The 17,437-nt window shown below is 42.9% G+C and overlaps 1 protein-coding gene and 1 long non-coding RNA gene across 5 annotated transcripts in view, besides 2 other annotated features; one reads left to right on the plus strand and one right to left on the minus strand.

Annotated features, from left to right (window-relative positions):
• Window positions 1-1,155, plus strand: part of LOC124901610 (uncharacterized) — a 32,215-nt gene extending 31,060 nt beyond the window's left edge. For all 3 annotated transcript variants that reach the window (XR_007060277.1, XR_007060278.1, XR_007060279.1), the window contains one exon: window positions 595-1,155. This is a non-coding gene — a long non-coding RNA (uncharacterized LOC124901610). The remainder of the gene's footprint in view (window positions 1-594) is intronic.
• On the minus strand, window positions 553-15,160 carry RP9 (RP9 pre-mRNA splicing factor). 2 transcript variants are annotated; one of them, NM_203288.2, is made up of 6 exons: window positions 14,977-15,160; window positions 6,287-6,317; window positions 5,063-5,192; window positions 3,027-3,118; window positions 2,249-2,310; window positions 553-1,188 (listed from the first exon to the last, which is right to left on the minus strand). In NM_203288.2, exons 1-6 carry the CDS (start codon window positions 15,126-15,128, stop codon window positions 990-992), a joined length of 666 nt encoding a protein of 221 aa, NP_976033.1. In that variant the 5' UTR covers window positions 15,129-15,160; the 3' UTR covers window positions 553-989. The 2 variants fall into 2 exon arrangements, with proteins under 2 accessions (NP_976033.1, XP_011513770.1); XM_011515468.4 differs by lacking the exon at window positions 14,977-15,160 and adding an exon at window positions 6,463-6,657.
• Window positions 14,816-15,045: a silencer, noted in NCBI's record as "silent region_18089". NCBI's record gives its function as "represses an Ori minimal core promoter by ATAC-STARR-seq in GM12878 lymphoblastoid cells {active_cell/tissue: GM12878}" and the evidence as "EXISTENCE:reporter gene assay evidence [ECO:0000049][PMID:35858748]".
• Window positions 15,056-15,535: a silencer, noted in NCBI's record as "silent region_18090". NCBI's record gives its function as "represses an Ori minimal core promoter by ATAC-STARR-seq in GM12878 lymphoblastoid cells {active_cell/tissue: GM12878}" and the evidence as "EXISTENCE:reporter gene assay evidence [ECO:0000049][PMID:35858748]".

Raw genomic sequence — 17,437 nt, forward strand, 5'->3', positions numbered from 1 at the left:
AAACTACAGATAGAAAATATTCAAAAAAATAAATGGATGGTTCTGTCTCTATGGAACATGTGCAGACTCTCTTTCTTGCCCTTATTCCCTAAACAATACATTATAACAACTATTTACATTGTATTAGGTGTTAGAAGTGATCTACAGATGAATTAAAGTATATGGGAAGATGTGTGTAGGGAACAGGCAAATAGCACGCCATTTAATATAAGGGACTTGGGCATCCACGGATTTTGGTATCTGTGAGGGATTGAGGGAGTTGGTCCTGGATCCAACCCCCTCAGATACTGACCACTGTAAGGTTCATACTTCTAAGTTTAAAATGTAACTATGTGTGAGTGAATGTGGATAGCATTTGCTAAGAAAAGCCCTGTACTTACTTGTGATATATAAAATATTCACAAGAAACTAGTACCACTGGTAGACATTGGGGAAGGTAACTGGAGTGGAAAGGAAGAAAGTAGAGTTTTCATGATTAAATATTATGTACCTTTTAAATTTGTATTAGGTATTATTTGTACTTATGTATTATTCATAAATAAATACATTCCATTTAAAAAATAAATAATGAGCTTTTATTATTCTCAACAACAGAGAAGACTCCAGCCTGATGTCTATGGGACCTGAGTCCACACTGTGGAGGGCACAAGCTGTGGGAGGGCCTGGAAGACACGCCTCAGAGATTCTCCCAGTCCTGCCACCCTGTGGGAGACACTTCAAAGGAATCGTAAACTCATGTGACCAGCAGGGAGGACAACGATGAAGAAACTTTCCTGCCTAAAATCAGCTGCTGTCCAGAGCTAGCACCTGGAAGGAGACACTCCCTCTCCTGGGGTCACATCTTCACTGCAAGGCGGGTGGGAGCTCACTGCTGTGACCCACATATACTCCTCTCTCGGCGTCTCTATCCTGCTGCTTTCTCTGACTGCATCTTCCTCTGTTCCTTGGTCAGTGTTTGAGAAGAGAATGTTGAACAAGTCACATCCTTGTCACTCTGAGTCAGAACCCTCATTTGACTTGGAAGATTTGTGCTTCCGTTTTTTCTTCTTTTTCTTTTCTTTCTTCCTTTTCTTATGCTTTTCTTTCTTCTTCTTTTTCTTGTGTTTCTCTTTACCTTCAGAGGAACTGGAGCTGCTCCTATCTTCATCTGAGGTAGAATCCTCCAGTAACTGTTTTAACTGCTGTATCCTAAACATTCAAAATTGATCAAAGAACAGTGAGTTTTAGCTTTAACTTACAACAGTTGCTTAGATAAATATGTCATTCAAAAGCAGTATAGGATGATGAATAACCATGTCACAAAGACAGTATTTTTATTTTTACCTGTTTTCTCATTCTTCTCCACCTGAATGCCTACTTTACGTGACTGAAACCAGTGTACAAGCCACTTTGTATTCTTTTTATTGTCCTAGACATTTCTGCATGTTTCCACAGTCCTTACAATTGTAATTTCTAACAGACGCATACTTTACTAAACCATTCCCCTACTGCTCAATTTCTTAATCTACATCTTTAACAGTTATAATGCCACCAATTTGAAAAAACAAACCCTCCAATTTTTTCCACCTCTCTCTAATCATGTCTAATTTTTTTCTTTTTTTTTTAGAGACAGGGTCTTCCTCTGTCACCTAGGCTGGAGTGCAGTGGTGCAATCATGGCTTACTGCAGCCTCAACCTACTGGGGTCAAGTAGATCCTCCCACCTCATCCTCCCGAGTGGCTGGAACTACAGGTGCGTGCTGCCATACTTGGCTACTTTTTATATTTTTTTGTAAAGATGGGGTTTTGCTGTATGGCCCAGGCTGGTCTCAAACGCCTGGACTTCAGCGATCCGCTGGCCTCGGCCTCCCAAAGTGTTAGGATTACAGGTGTGAGCCACTGAGCCTGGCCTAAGTATAATTTTTAACAAAAGCTCACATCCCTAAAGACTCTGGAGAAGATAAACTGAATCACATGAAAATATCAATTATACTGTACAAGTAGACAGCACAACATGGGTTGCCAACATCAACTGCAGTGGCCAGAGAGCTGGACCAAGCCCATGGCTTTAAGTTAACCCAAGGAGGAGGAGGCTGGCCTGCTCATTCCCCAACACTGGCCTTTTCAGCCATGACTCCTGCACTCCACATATTTTCACAATTGAAGTACCATGTTTACTGCACCATTCCTCTAACACTAGAGTGGTTTTCTCCAACTTTATATAATTTTAAAACTTTAAGGGGATATTGTTATCATCAGGACGACCTCACCTTACGTCCTTTTCATGTCGTTTATTGTCTCGTATGATGTCATACATGGGATCTTCATGTGCCTTAAGGGTCAGAGAAGGTTAAGGTTTGGTTAGGCTTCATGGATCACAAGTTAAATACAATGAAATGCCTATGTTATGAAAACCAGTTTATTTTTTTTTTTACTGTTTGATGTAGCTGCATGTTCAACATGTTCTAGGTCACATCACTGAAAACTCATTAAGGCTAAAAAATGGATTTTCCAATTAGAAAAATACAGGAAATGGCTACTCTCAGCACACTGTCTTTGGGGTAGCCCTGCTCTGCAGGAGCAATCACAGAGCTATAACACTGCCACCTCAAAAACAAAGAAAAATACAGGGAATAACTGTCATCTAAAGAAAAAATATACGGACACTTTAATCTTACAGTTTAAAGACATGTACTCTTTAAAGACCGGGAAATTAAATCCCTGATTTCAGTCATGAAACATGACTTTTTTACACAGTAAATTTTAAAAAGTGCGGTTGAATAGATAACAATGTCTGTTTCAGAAAAAAAATCACTGTTCCAAGTTACAAACAAAGATCACTTTAATAAGAATTCCTTTTTTTTGTAAAAGAGCTAATTTGTCATACAAATGTAATTTAATAAGCATGTAGTTAACAGCACACACTTTGGTCAAAGGGCTTCTGGGAATGTATTTTATGTGACCATTCAAGTTCACTGGTGACTTTCTGCTTCACTGATTTTCACTATCTCTGATAAATGTAAATTGACACTCTTGGACTTTACTTACCACTCTGAACTGCTCTAACTTTTGGTTGCCTTTGATAAAGAAAGGGCATTCTTTGTCACCCGTTCGGTGACCATAGCGTTTGCAACGCCAACCTAAAAACGAAAAGAGAAATATTTCTGTAAGATAACAGTTTCACCTACTCAAGATAAAGAATCAGCAGAATATATTCAAGTTTTTCTTCATTAAACTCTAATTCTAAAACAAAATATAATTATGGACAAGCCATGTAAGATCCCAGAAACAGAGGTAAACTAATTGCTTCCCCAAGCATCCTTTAGTCTTATACCTTTAGGAATAATATTCTATCACCAAGTATTTATGAAGCAATCCAATGGAGAATTACTTCAAAAGGTGAATTTTTTTTTTTGAGATGGAGTCCTGCTCTGTCGCTCAGGCTGGAGTGCAGTGGCGTGATCTCAGCTCACTGCAACCTCTGCCTCCTGGGTTCAAGATATTCTTCTATTTCAGCCTCCTGGGTAGCTGGGATTACAGGTGCGTACCACCACACCCAGCTAATTTTTGTATTTTTAGCAGAGATGGGGTTTTGCCATGTTGCCCAGGCTGGTCTTCAACTCCTGACCTCAGGTGATCCGCCCGCCTCAGCCTCCCAAAGTGCTGGGATTACAGGCGTGAGCCACCACGCCCGGCCCAAAAGGTACATTTTTTTTAAAGTGTGTTTCAGTATATTTTTCAGAGTAAATGTTTTCATAAAGTATCTCTGCTTCTCATTTACTATTTTAGACACTATAAAAGCTTCTTTCTCAGGTTGAGTCTGTTCAAAACTCTCACTTTTAAGTAAATAAAATCACAAGTTCTCTTAGAATATTAATGGTGGCTGGGCACAGTGGCTCCTACCTGTAATCCTAGCACTTTGGGAGGCAGAGGCGGGTAGATCGCTTGAGGCCAGGAGTTCGAGACTAGCTTAGGCAACATGGTGAAACCCTATCTCTACAAAAGTACAAAAAAATTAGCTAAGCCTGGTGGCGCATGCCTGTAGTCCCAGCTATCTCAGAGGCTGATGTGAGATCACCTGATTCTGGGAGGTTGAGGCTGCAGTAAGTTGTGATCACACCACTGCACTCCAGCCCGGGTGACAGAGTGAGACCCTGTTTTCCTGACCCTGGTAGAAGGTTGTTTAATGTGTGGAAAAGGTAAAACAGAGGGTCTCTGGCCAGGGAGACCAGGGAGACATCAGGTAGGTCTGAAGGAAGCTGCTGCAATAGCCACAAAGGGTCACACGAATGAATGAAAAGCAGATGGACACATTTCCAGACTCCCTCCACTCGGCTCCCAGAACACTCATAGTATGGCTTTCCCTCCACGTGGGAGCCTTCTCTGGGAAAATATAACCCACCCAAAGAAGAAAAACCGATAGATACTGAACTCTGAGGCACGTTGTCTTTGCTTTTAACAAATAATCAAGGCAATGAAGCATTCCCATCAAAATTCTCAAGGAAACTGATTTTTAAATTAGAATTCAATATCCTGGTAGTTAAAAATCTGTTAAAGACGATTCCAGAAAAGTAAAGGTCTTAACATTTTTATCTTCTATAAACCCATTTTGAAGGTAACAGCCATAGGATTTGTTACACCATAAGGAGAGAATATGATAATAAAGAAGACTCAAGACACAGGAAAATGGGTGATCCAACACGGGAGAGAGGCTAAGGGGACCTGCAGAAAGATGGTGTCTTAGTCAGCTCGGGCTGACATAACAAAATGCCGTATTCTGGGTGGCCTAAACAACAGAAACTGGTTTTCTCATTCATTCTGTAGGTTGGAAATCTGAGATCAGGGTCCCAGCAAGGTGGGTTTGTGGTGAGAGCTTTCTTCCTGGCTTAAGATGACAGCCCTCTTTCTTCTTCACATGGCACGGTGGTGGGGGGTGGGGTGGATGCTTCCTTATCTAGAAGATGGAGAACGTGCCTTGGCTGTAAGAGGGCTGTGATGAGAACAAGTTAAATAAAAGAAGTAAACACTCTTTGTAAATTGAGGCATGTAAGTTGCATGGATTAGGGAAACTCTCCCACACTCACACTGCATAACTTTGACTTCTTTCCCCAGTGGCATCCAAAGTCCTTTAGTTGGTGCATGAGCCAGAAATTCCCTGGCGTGTTCATTGCCTGGTACATCTGGTATGCAATCTTCTGGCTTAGTCTCATCTTCCTAAAAAAGGGAACAGGTATAAACAGCATGGCAAGAGCGCTGGGATTCTCTCCTGCTCCCCTTGGAGCCACCCTTGCCTGGCTTTTTCCTGGGCTTCCGGTGCCAACATCATCTTAGTTACCCCTCAAAACTAGAAAAAAAGACAAGTTACACCTGATTGAAAAAACAGGAAACAAATGTACCAGAAGAACTATACCAAAAACAATGTAGCTGTTCTTAGAGAAAAGTTACTGGTGAAGCAGAAAAATCTGTCCTTATATAGCAATGACTGGGGAGCTCCAAATAAGATTCTGAGATTAAAAAAAAAAAGTTTCACTACCTCAAAATATAGAATTAAAGTAAACCAGGCTTCCTGGAATAATAGAAATGGCCTGTTATGCTAGAATAGTTTATTATACCCTGAAGGCCCTGTCATGTTTTACAGTCACACACATGCTATATCTCTGATGTACATTTTTACCACTCAATAACTGCATTTACAATTAATGTGTTTTCAAACTTTTGGATTTTTTTCAAGTTTCTATGAATATTAAATTTACAATAGACTCATGTTTTTAAAGAATATTTCTTCGCTGAGAGTTATGAAACAGCAAGTTTTCTTGGCCGTGGCCTGCCACTCTAAGTCTCCCTCGTGCACACACACCCTGGCACCTTGGCCAGGGAGCTGCAGGAGGGATGCCTGTACCAGGGAGCGGGACTGGATAGCTGTCAGATCTCCTCAGAGTTTACTGCTCTCTGAGCTGCTGAGCTCAAGAAACCAGCAGAGGATGGACCGAGGGGCTGAGCCGGGTGAGGCCGACAAGGAAAAGGAGCTTAGAGATGCCATCCCCAGCAAGAGAGAAGAGGGGCATGGCCAAGGAATCCACGTGGGCCTGCACTGGTTCTTCAGGGAAGGGAAACATGGCTGATGAAATTTCTGCAAAGGCAGAGGCTTGTGACAAAACTAAAAATTATGACCCCTCATTCATCTGCAGGAAAAGAAACAGGCTTTTGGTAAAAGGAGATTTAACATCATGCAATTATTTTTCATAACAAGTTACTGAGTCTACAAGTATGTCTTGTGGAATAACCAAGAGTACAAACTTCACACTAACCTTGATAAGCCCAGGAGGAGGTTTTTCGTAACTGGAAAACAAAAAACAAAACCTTATCAACCATGTTAATGTAAACATAACACATCAAGTTACTGCAAAAAAGGGGCTATAGGATTTTTAATCAGAGATTTTAGCAACAATAAGCTTTTATCACTGGTTTGCAGACAAGCAATCACCTGAGAAGAGCAGAATGCTTCTCCTCCCTGTGCTGAGCGGCACCTGCCATCTAAGACTGGCCAGGCCTTCCTTATTTCCATCCAGGGACTGAACCCAGAGGAGACCCAGAATGCTGAGCACGCAAGTCTCCAGATGGGACAGGCAGCAAGATGGGAAGGAAATTCTGAAGGCGAGGTGTTTGTGCACTCAAAGAGCAACTCTCAGGCTCCTAAAGCAATTTGTACCTCCTCCCAAAAGAGTAATATGCAAATATTTTTAGCTCAGGTCTGTCCCTTGACCCTTTAAACCTTTAGGGAAGTATTTTTTTTTTTTTTGAGACAGGGTCTTGTCGTGTTGCCTAGGCTGGTCTCAAACCCCTGGCCTCAAGCAATCCTCCCACCTCAGCCTCCTGAGTAGCTGGGACTACAGTTGTGTACCATGGCACCATGACACCTGGCTCTCTTATTTTAATACTTCAGAATGGCTGCAACATAGAGAAACACTTAATGATTTAATGTTTTCTTCATTCGGACTCTCGTCTTATGCATAGTTTAAGGGACCCTTTAGAAGACAATGAATATTGGAAAAGGGAGTCAAGAATAGACAAAGGGAAAAGTGAAAAAATTTTCATTTGGCCAGGCGTGGTGGCTCGCGCCTGTAATCCCAGCACTTTGGGAGGCTGAGGCGGGCAGATCACTTGAGGTCAGGAATTCGAGACTAGCTTGGCCAACATGGTGAAACCCCGTCTCTACTAAAAATACAAAAATTAGCTGGGCGTGGTGGCGGGTGCCTGTAATCCCAGCTACTCAGGAGGCTGAGGCAGAAGAATTGCTTGAACCTGGGAGGCAGAAGTTGCAGTGAGCTGAGATCGCACCATTGCACTCCAGCCTGGGAGACAGAGTGAGACTCTGTCTTAAAAAAAAAAAAAAAAATTCATTCTCCCCTTCTATAAGATGTGGGAGAAAGCAACTTGATGGACAATGGATGAGAAATACTACTAATCCCAGATCTGTTCCCTCAAGATTAAATAGTAAACAACTGTGTATTAACAGGATTAGCTTTGTAAGTGTGGTACAGTGTTTTCCCAAAGTAGGTGCTTAAAATATTTCTAACAAAAAGCTGTGGCATGACATAGGCCTAATGGAGCAAAAACAATGGAAATCTGCACAACTTGTGAAGATGATAGTTTATCTGTAGCCATTCATTAGAAACATTAATGCTATACCTTATGCATAGAGACTAGAAGGAGCTTGACAGTAAAGTCTATAAATCCAAAAATCCAATAAATGAATCCTTTTGAGCCACAAGCATTATACAAAAAATATATGGCCAATCGAATTGAGATCCAAATTCTCAAAAAAAAGTAACTGTTCTTGCCAAGATGAAAATGAGTGTGATGCAATTGCACATTTGGAAATATAATATTATCAGCAATGGCATTCCCAAAGTCCATTTTACAAGTGGTTTCACAAGTTTAAAGAAGGGTGGTTCATGTTGTTTCCCGGGGCTGAACAATTCATTAATGTAGTATACTCAAAAATATATTTCTGAAAGTAGTATTTAACTACTAAATACAGATTAGAAAACTGAAGTATGTTCACGCACAGTTTAGGTTCTACAGTGTGACAGTTAAGAGGTATGCATTTATCTTTGCAGTCACTGTCACCCAAGCTGGAGTGCAGTGGCGTGATCACAGCTCACTGCAGCCTTGAACTCCTGGGTTCAAGCAATCCTCCTGTCTTGGCCTCCCAAAGTACTGGGATTGTATACATGATCCACCGTGTCCAGCTGCAGTTAATTCTCAAGATAAAAAAAAGTTGATTGAGATGCATTATTTTGTGCCATCTGAAAAGCCTTACTTAGTCATTCAGACTGTACTAACTTTCTCTGAGTAGGAAGAAGACCAGTTATGTCTGAGACACGCTGTCTTCTCAAGTGTGTACAGAGTAAGAAATCTTTTGTTAAGTGTTTCAAATTACTCTTTCTGTTGACTGTTGAGATGGGTTTTCTTTGAGAAGAGTCCCTAATGCAAGTGTACTCCATTCCACACAATTGTTCCTGCAGCTGCATCCAAGGGGCTGCGTGGCAGAGGTGAAACTGCCACATACACCCAGAAGGTCCACTCTGTTATGCCTGGCAGCCCAGGAGCTATTAAGTGACAGAGAGTGTTGGAGCAGGTGGAAGCCTCGGATGCCCTCAGGGGCCTGGCAGGCAGGGTCACCGAGGGAAAACTGTGGTGGAGACTCAGGAGACTCCATCACATCAGGGATGAAAAGATTTGAATTCAATTTATAAAAGAGCACTGTGGGGCTTCCCATTTAACATGGCCAACTGACCAACATGCTTATCTATCTCCTTCCCCAGATGCTTTAAAAATGACAGTGAAAAAATAAAAAGGCCATAAAGATATCCCAAAAGGAGGCAACATCAGAGGAAGTTTTCAACAAATTTGGGAAAGTGGAAATAGCAATGGATTTCCTGGGGTGGAAGAAGTAACACTTTTCAGAAGATGAGGCTTCCTTCCTATAGCCAGGAGGCTGCCTGCCCAACACTTGAAGGAGGCTGCAGGGTTAGCCTCTCCAATTCAGCAACACTGGCAGCCAGGCAGAGATCCCTGGCCCCCAGGCAGAGGACTCAAGACCCTTCTCTAGAGGAACTTAGGAGCCCCAGAAAAAAATCTCCAACTACTGACATTTGGAAGTCTCTTGATAAAAAGGGTACCCTGCAGCATGAGCGCCCTATCATGAAGCTATCTGATCAACAAACAACACCTTCTCTCTTTTTTCTCTCCCACACACAGCTGCCCTTGACAAGAGCTGTATAGCGCCTACTCTTAAATGAGTTGAGGCCAGAGCAGCGGCTCATGCCTGTAATCCCAGCACTTTGGGAGGCTTAAGTGAGAGGATTCCTTGAAGCCAGGAGTTCGCGACCAGCCTGGGCAACATAGTAAGATTCCATCTCTAAAAAAAAAAGTGTAAAAAAACTAGCTAGGTGTCATGGTGTGCACCTGCAGTCCCAGCTACTCTGTAGGCTGATTCAGGGGGGATCACTTGAGCCCAGGAAGTCGAGGCTGTAGTGAGTTATAATCGTGCCACTGTGCTCCAGCCTGGGTGACAGAACGAGAGCTTGTCTCTAAAAAACACAAAACAAAACAAAATATGGTTGAGATTCAAGAATACCCAGATATTAGAGAAAAAAAAATTACTAAATGTAAGACAGCAATCAAAATAAAAAGCAAACAAGAAATAGAGGCAATGTAGGGAACAAAAGACAACAAAAAAGAAAAACGAGTGAGTATCCTCATAGATGAGTGAAGATATTTCACTTATGAAACAAGAACAGGATAATATAAAAAACAACTTGCAGAATGAGAAAAAGCTTTTTGATTTAGAAATATAACAAATATGTTTAGTAGAGAAAAAGATACATCTACAAAGTACAATGAAAATACAAAGACAGAAGAGATAGAGCAACAGAAAATCAACAGAAGGAAAAAACAAAATTGGGGAGAGGAAATAAGACATAAATTTATATATGTAGTTAATGCATTCATGACATGTCAAGAAAAAAAGAGTCAACTGCACAAACTGGGGAACAACACACACTGGGGCCCACTTGAGGGTGGAGGGCAGGCGGAGGGTGAGCATCAGAAAAAATAACTCTTGGGTACTAGGCTTTGTACCTGGGTGATGAAATAATCTGTACAACAAATCCCCATGACATGAGTTTACCTGTATAACAAACCTACACAGGTACCCCTAAACCTAAAATAAAAGTTAAAAAAAAAAAAGTCAATTGGAAAAGACTAACATTATCATGAAACTTCAGGATGGCAGCAATAAAGAATAGTTTCTTAACGTTTAAGGGTGAGGTGAACTTGAACAGGTAACTTATAAAAGAAAGGGACTCAGAATGGCATCAAACTCCTTAGCAGTTTTGGAAGCTAGAAGATAGTGATGTACTATCGCCAAAACTGAGTGAAAATTGTTGTTACTATTTTCCTCCTGCCTCAGCCTCTGGAGTAGCTGGGACTACAGGTCCATATCATTGTGCCTGGCTAATTTTTAAATTTTTTGTAGAGACAGGGTCTCACATTGTTGCCCAGGCTGGTCTTGAACTCTTGGCTTCAAATGATTCTCCTGCCTTGGCCTCCCAAAGTGTTGGGATTACAGGTGTGAGCCAGCATGCCCAGCCCCAAAATGATTTTTGACCTGTAATTTTATACCTAGTCAAATTATGTACCAAGTTTTAGGATAGAATAAAGACATCTTCAGATATGCAAGGTGTCAAAAACTTTACCTCCAATGCACTCTTTCATAGGAAGTTGCAGAATTGGCTTTGGTAAAATGTGAGAGTAAACTTATAAAGAGGAAGACATGGAATCCAGGAATGAGATGCAAGATAGGAGAGTGGGAAAGGATGCCCTAGGACCACTGCTGGACCAGGTCTAAAAAGTAACCAGTGTACTGAAGGACAACAGATTGAAGAGTCTAGGTAAAAAATGAACTGACTACCTGATATGTAGTTATGTGTGGAAAAAGTACTATTGGGGCTCAGAAAATGATACCCCAAAGTATGGTGCTTTGGCATGCTGAGTACTTTGAACTAAATGAGATTAGAGAAGGCCTCAGAAGACAGTTGCTCTCTGACCTTCTCTTGCCCTCCTGTCTCCTGCCCTTCTTTCTTCCCCAAAGCAGTCAGAGAGGCCAGAATTCCTCTTTTCCACAAGTGGGCCATAAAAACTAGAACAAGTCTCCCACAAAGCAAGCCAGAAGCCCTACAAATAACTTTAATTTTTTTTTTAAAGAAGATAAAATCTCAGTGGAACTTTTAAAAAAATATTTAAAATAATAATAATAAACTCCTACAAATATTACCCTAACATTTCCTTGCCTTTCTGTGTCAGAGGTGGCCATAAAAACATGAGCTGACCTACCTTGTTTGATAGATCAGGACCCCTCATTCCAGAAAGGGTCCTGCCCCATATCTGGGAGGAAGTAATCGTACACAGAGAGGCCTGAAAAATCTGAATAGACAGGGCTTGCTGGATTTTCCCTATGACCACTGTATTATACCCTTTTTTGTCTAATCATATTTCTACACTGCTATACATTCTTCATCCAAACTAAGCATAAAAATAGTTTCCTCTGGGTCTCTGGGTCTTCCTTTGTCAACGTTCCCATGTCACATAAAACTTTGATTAAATACATTTGTTATGCTTTTTTCTTGTTGACCTATTTTTTGTTATAGGAGTATCTGCTGTGACTCCTATGATAGGTAAGGAAAGATACCTTTTCACCTTTATGGTACTCAGATTTTGGAGACATTGGGGGAAAAACAGCAGTAGAAAATTAAGTAAGTGAAAAACAAAGGCTCTTATTAACTACTTAAAAGTTAACAATAGTATAGAAAGCAAAATAAATCAGAGTACACTACCTGGCTCAAAGTGAGTAATAATTCATAGTTATATTGCTGTTTTTTTTTTGTTTGTTTGTTTTTGAGACAGGATATCACTCTGTTGCCCAGGCTGGAGTCCTGGAGTGCAGCCATGGCTTACTGCAGCCTCAACCTCCCAGGCTCAAGCAGATCTTCCCACTTCAGCCTCCCAAGTAGCTGGAACCACAGGCATGTACCACCATGCCTGGTTAATTTCTTTTTTCCTTCTTTCTTGCAGAGATAAGGTCTATAAATGCTGCCCAGGCTGGTCTAGAACTTCTGGCCTCAAGCGATCTTCCCACCTCTACCTCCCAAAATGCTGGGATTATAGGCGTGAGCCACAGAGCCCAGCCTAGTTATAATAATGTTAATACTAAGCATTCGTTTAGCAAAAATTGCTATGATGGAACTATACTGGAAGATTGGAAACAAGAAGGGTAGGTAAAGAACTAAATCCTTACTGTGACAAGAAGTTAAGAGGTATGTCTAAGATGTTGAATTGATGTAAACAGTATAAATATACAATTTAGGAATATACAGTTGGTGGGCGCAGCGGCTCACGCCTATAATCCCAGCACTTTGGGAGGCTGAGGTGGGCAGACCACTATGTCAAGAGATCGAGACCATCCTGGCCAACATGGTGAAGCCCCATCTCTACTAAAAATATAAAAATTAGCTGGGCATGGTGATGCACACCTGTAGTCCCAGGTACTTGGGAGGCAGAGACAGGAGAATCGCTTGAACCCAGGAAGTGGAGGCTGCAGTGAGCCAAGATTGCACCACTGCACTCCAGCCTGGGTGACAGAGCGAGACTCCATCTCAAAAAAAAAAAACAAAAACCAAACAGTTAAATCCCAGAAGTAAAACCTAAAAGTTTACACAGAGAAGCCTGGTTTGGGAGGGGGAAGAGGGACACAGGGAATATGAGTGGTTACTGAGGAGTTGGGCAGCCTATTGCTATTTTTTGGTAGCACTTTTAGTACTATTTGAATTTTAAAACTACATATTACTGTGGTATAAATACAATTTAAAGCTCAAACAAGATTCTGAACTGGCCAAAGCAAATGTCTCAACGGCTCATTCAGTTTTAAATCTCAGAAACTGGAAAAATCCCACCAGTCAATCAGACACCTGGGTTCAGCTCTAGATTTGCTGGTTAACTAACTGGTCAATGTATGCTTGATCACATGACTTAACCACTGTTCCTCCATTTTTTCATCTGTAAAAGTAGGTTATAATCTCTCTCATCTGTGAAAAAGCTCTCTGAGCTACAAATAAGTGGAATTAACCATCCTCTAGCATTCTATAGCTAAATATATTGAGGGCTGGGCAGGGCCAGGCATTCTGATGCTTACGCTAGGGGAAGATCTTTGAACACCTGACTTCCCTGGGAGACCAAGAGCGCCACACAGTGACTTGAAAGGGCCAGGACTGCCCTGTAACATGGATGCCCACAATGCAGGGTCTCTATCCTGCATCCCCTGCCCTGCTAAGGGGAAAAGTCGTTCAGAGCGGGCCACACTGGAAAAAGAGCAGGCCAGGTCCCAACATAGGAATTTATCTCACATCAAACCTCCCAGAAGGTTAATTATAAAAAGGATTTTAATTCTTTGAGGAACTTTTCTTATATGAATTATGTTTTTTAAAAGTAGACAAATTAAACTCTACTTGAGCAAAGAACTGTTTTCAAAGAGGGCACCCCCATAACCAGAATAGGTCCAGAGCAATTCTCAGGCTGCCACCTGGTGGGATAACATTTATGGACAGGAAAAGGAAAGTGATGTACAGAAAAGCAAATGAGGTAGAGAAATAGCTGGATTCCATACAGCCTGGCGTTTGCCTTCTTTGAACAGGGTTTCAAAGGCTGACCACCTGTGACGGCCTGAAAATCAGCTGCTGTGATTGTCTGAGACTCAGGTACTTATAACAGTAGGTTACAGTCTGTTTACACATCTACTTAGGTTACAGTTCACTAAGTACAGAGAAACTTTTAGGCTAAACTTAAAATATTCAAGGAGGCAGCGTTAGGCTATACTTAACACCTACTTAGCACAGGTAACTAGAAGTGGCTAAAACAGAAACGAATTCTTGAATAACTGAGTGAATGCCACACTTAGAAAAGGTTGTTTTATGCAGCTAATTATAGAATCACGGACAAGAACTGAAAGAGTTGCTGCCTGAACTTTCCACTCGAGGTCTGTGTTAGAATTTAGGAAACGCCACCCTGATAAATGACTGCAAAAGACAAGAATGCACCATCCCCAAACATGCCACCCTGGCATATTGATGACTTTGAGCTATAAGTAACAGAACCAAACAACACAGGATAACTTATTCAGCTACCCCTCAACTGCCTAAAATAAAGTATGACTGCTTTTTTTCCTTTTGTTCTTATTATTTTTCGACTCGCCTGTTGTAAACAGAAATTTACACCTATAAAGGAAATTTTCTGTAGTAAATGTATCTGTATCAGGAAGACAGCTGCTTGGGGGCAACTTTTATCGCCTGAGCGCCTCATCGGGATAACAAAGCAACCTTTATTCACCATACATTTCCCCCATCACCCTTCCAAAAGGTCTCCACCACGCCCCAAAAGGCCCACGCCCCTATTCCCTGGCCCTTCTTTGTCTCCCACTTTTGTGGCCCTCTAGTGCACGGGTACATAATTAAAAGTTTTTCTCCTGTTAATCTGTCTTATGACAATTTAATTTGTGGCCCAGCTTAAGAACTTAGAAGGGTAGAGGGAAACCATATTTCCTTCCCCTACATTTGAATCTTCTTTACACCACACTCTCCCGGGTCATTTGGACTCTCCTGGAACCCCCTGGAGCTAGGGAAGCGCAGGGCCTCCCAAGTCAGATTCTGCTTGGTGCCGAGCGGCAGTTGGCTCCCTGAACGCCCCGCCAGGAGGATGGACTTCAAGTCCTTGACCGCGGCGCCCGACATCGGTCGCCCGCACCAGGCTCCTGCCGGGCCCAGCCCCCCTGCCTGCTCGCGGGGGCTCGGAGGACCCGGCCTAGCGCCCACCGCGGCGTCCCGCGCCCCGGGCCCCTGGCTTCAGAAGACTGGCCGCGCGCGGACGGCAGCTCGGGACTCACAAGGACTCCAGGTGCTTGAGCTGCTGCAGCTGCTGCGCGTCGTGTCGCCGCCGCTTCTGCTCCCGACGTCGCTGCAGCTCCTGCTCCGGCGGCTCACGCGGCCGCCGCGCGCCCGCAGCCCCCACGTCCTCGCGCCCAGGCCGGGACGACATGTCAGCCCCCGCAGCGCCGCTCGGGCAACCCCCGCGGCGCGGCTCCGGCGGCGGCGGCGGCGGCGGCGGCAGCCAAGAGAGCACTTCCTCCGCGCGGCGGTCGCGGGGCTTCGCAGCGCCCCCTCCCGCCGCCGCCCCGCAACTCACCCCGGCGGCCCCGAAGTCTCAGCCTCGGCCACCCGATCCCCGCCTCCCCGCGTCGGGCCCCAAGTCAGGGGCTCCGGGTCTCGGGCCCAGCCGCCAGGCGGGCTGCTGCGGGTGGGTGGGGAGCGCCGCCTAGCTGGAGCCGAAGCGGGGCGAGGCGCTAGTTGGGAGCCTGGAGGTTCCCGCCCGGCCACACCCACCTCAGGTATACTAGCAACAGTCACATAGGGATGAGCAGATGAAATGTATTCATAAAAAAATGTTCAAATTAGCCAGGCGTGGTGGCGGGCGCCAGTAGTCCCAGCTACTTGGGTGGCTGAGGCAGGAGAATTGCTTGAACCCAGGAGGCAGAGGTTGCAGTGAGCCGAGATGGTGCCCCTGCACTCCAGTCTGGGCGAAAAAGCGAGATTGTCTCTCAGAAAAAAAAAAAAAAAAGTGTTCAAAAAGTGAAATGTATAAACATATAATTATGTTCGGTAATAGTGTGCACCCAGCTTTATAACTGCGGTCATCTGATATACCATGAGAGACAACCTAACTCTTTTGACAGGATGGGTCACCATGACGTCACCACTGTGCCAGTCACCCGAGGAGCCAAGATCCTGAGAAATTTCATCTTTCACAAATGCAGATGTACAGAAAAGACACTTATTTATTTATCGAGGAAATTTCTACATTTTTGCATATATGTAGAATGCTTACACAGTCACCATTGTAATAATGAGCTTTGATTGAGTCATATTTGCAAAAAATGCATAAAACAAATTTGAACTCTCTAAAAGTCTTTATATAGTTGATGCCTCCAGTATTAGAAATGATGTTAAGATGTAATACATAGCATAGTGAATTGTAAAACATAATGCTGACAATTTACAATAATGAAAAAGCTAAAAGAGAAAATAGAAAAACGAAAGCAAACTAAAAAGAAAATTCAACATAGAAAAAGTGTATTGCAGGGATAGATTATGGGCAATTGCATGGCGATTGTCCACATGAACTGCCCAACTTTTATGATGATTAACATATTTTGAAGTCTTGCATCATGATGAATAGCTTTTTTTTTTTTCTTTTAGGACATGGCTCTCCTCGATGATACAGTCTCATTAATTTTCTATGTGATACTGCTCTTTCCAAAATTCTTTTTAACTTTTTAAAGTTTTTTATTTTGTAGAGACGGGGTCTCGCTATGCTGCTTAGGCTGGCCTTGAACTCCTGGCCTCAAGCAATCCTCCTGCCATAGCCTCCCAAAACACTGGGATTACAGGTGGGAATCACTGCACCTGACTATGAAATTATTTTGTGATTTGATATTCTCTGACTTCTCTTTGTGCTTTCTTTCTGTTGTACCCTCCTGTCCATGAACCCCTCTGTTTTTCATTTTATTCTTCTGCCCCCTCCTAAGACACCAGAGATTCATTCTTGAGGCCAGTCAAGCAGCCTTGGTGTTGGCCCACTGGTGGGGCAGCTGCAGTTGGTCCTTAGTCTGTGCTACTGGACAGGTTTTAAACCTTTCAGAATGGAGCAACTAAAAAAAGAATAGATTTTCTCCTGCTTGTATTGATCACCCTTCACAGTGTAATCTTGACACCATTGTTTTGCTGCTAAGGTGTATTTTTACAAGCTCTTATCTTACCAGTGACCTTTCCCCACTGGGGAGATGAGGAGAGGAAAAAAGTAGGAGAAGGGAAAGATCACATGGCTAGATTAGAGAGTACAATGCAAAATCTTTCTTTTTTTCCTACCCAAAATACAAGTCTTCAAGGAACTCTCATGGTGAAGTGGACCCTCAGGCGTGCATGTCTATGGTCTTCTGCAGCGCAGTAGAAACATGAGAATCCCTTTGGTCATGCACTAAAAACAGCTGTTAAAATTACTTCTAGGGCCAGGCATGGTGGCTTGTGCCTGTTGTCCTAGGTATTTGTGGAGCTTAGGTGGGAGGATTGCATGAACCCAGGAGGTGGAGGCTACAGTGAGCCATGATCGTGTCACTGCACTCCAGCCTGAGTGACAGAGTGAGCCCCTGTCTCAAAAAAAGAAAAATTATTTCTATCCATCAATAGTTGCTAACCAGTAGGATCGGAGGGAAAATTGCAACGTGCTTTACTTTAGGCTTGCAGGTACGAAAGACTGAGGGAGGAAGGTCAGACACCAAACTTAATTGGTAT

The sequence above is a fragment of the Homo sapiens genome, chromosome 7 (assembly GCF_000001405.40).
Source record: "Homo sapiens chromosome 7, GRCh38.p14 Primary Assembly".
NCBI lineage: Eukaryota > Metazoa > Chordata > Mammalia > Primates > Hominidae > Homo > Homo sapiens.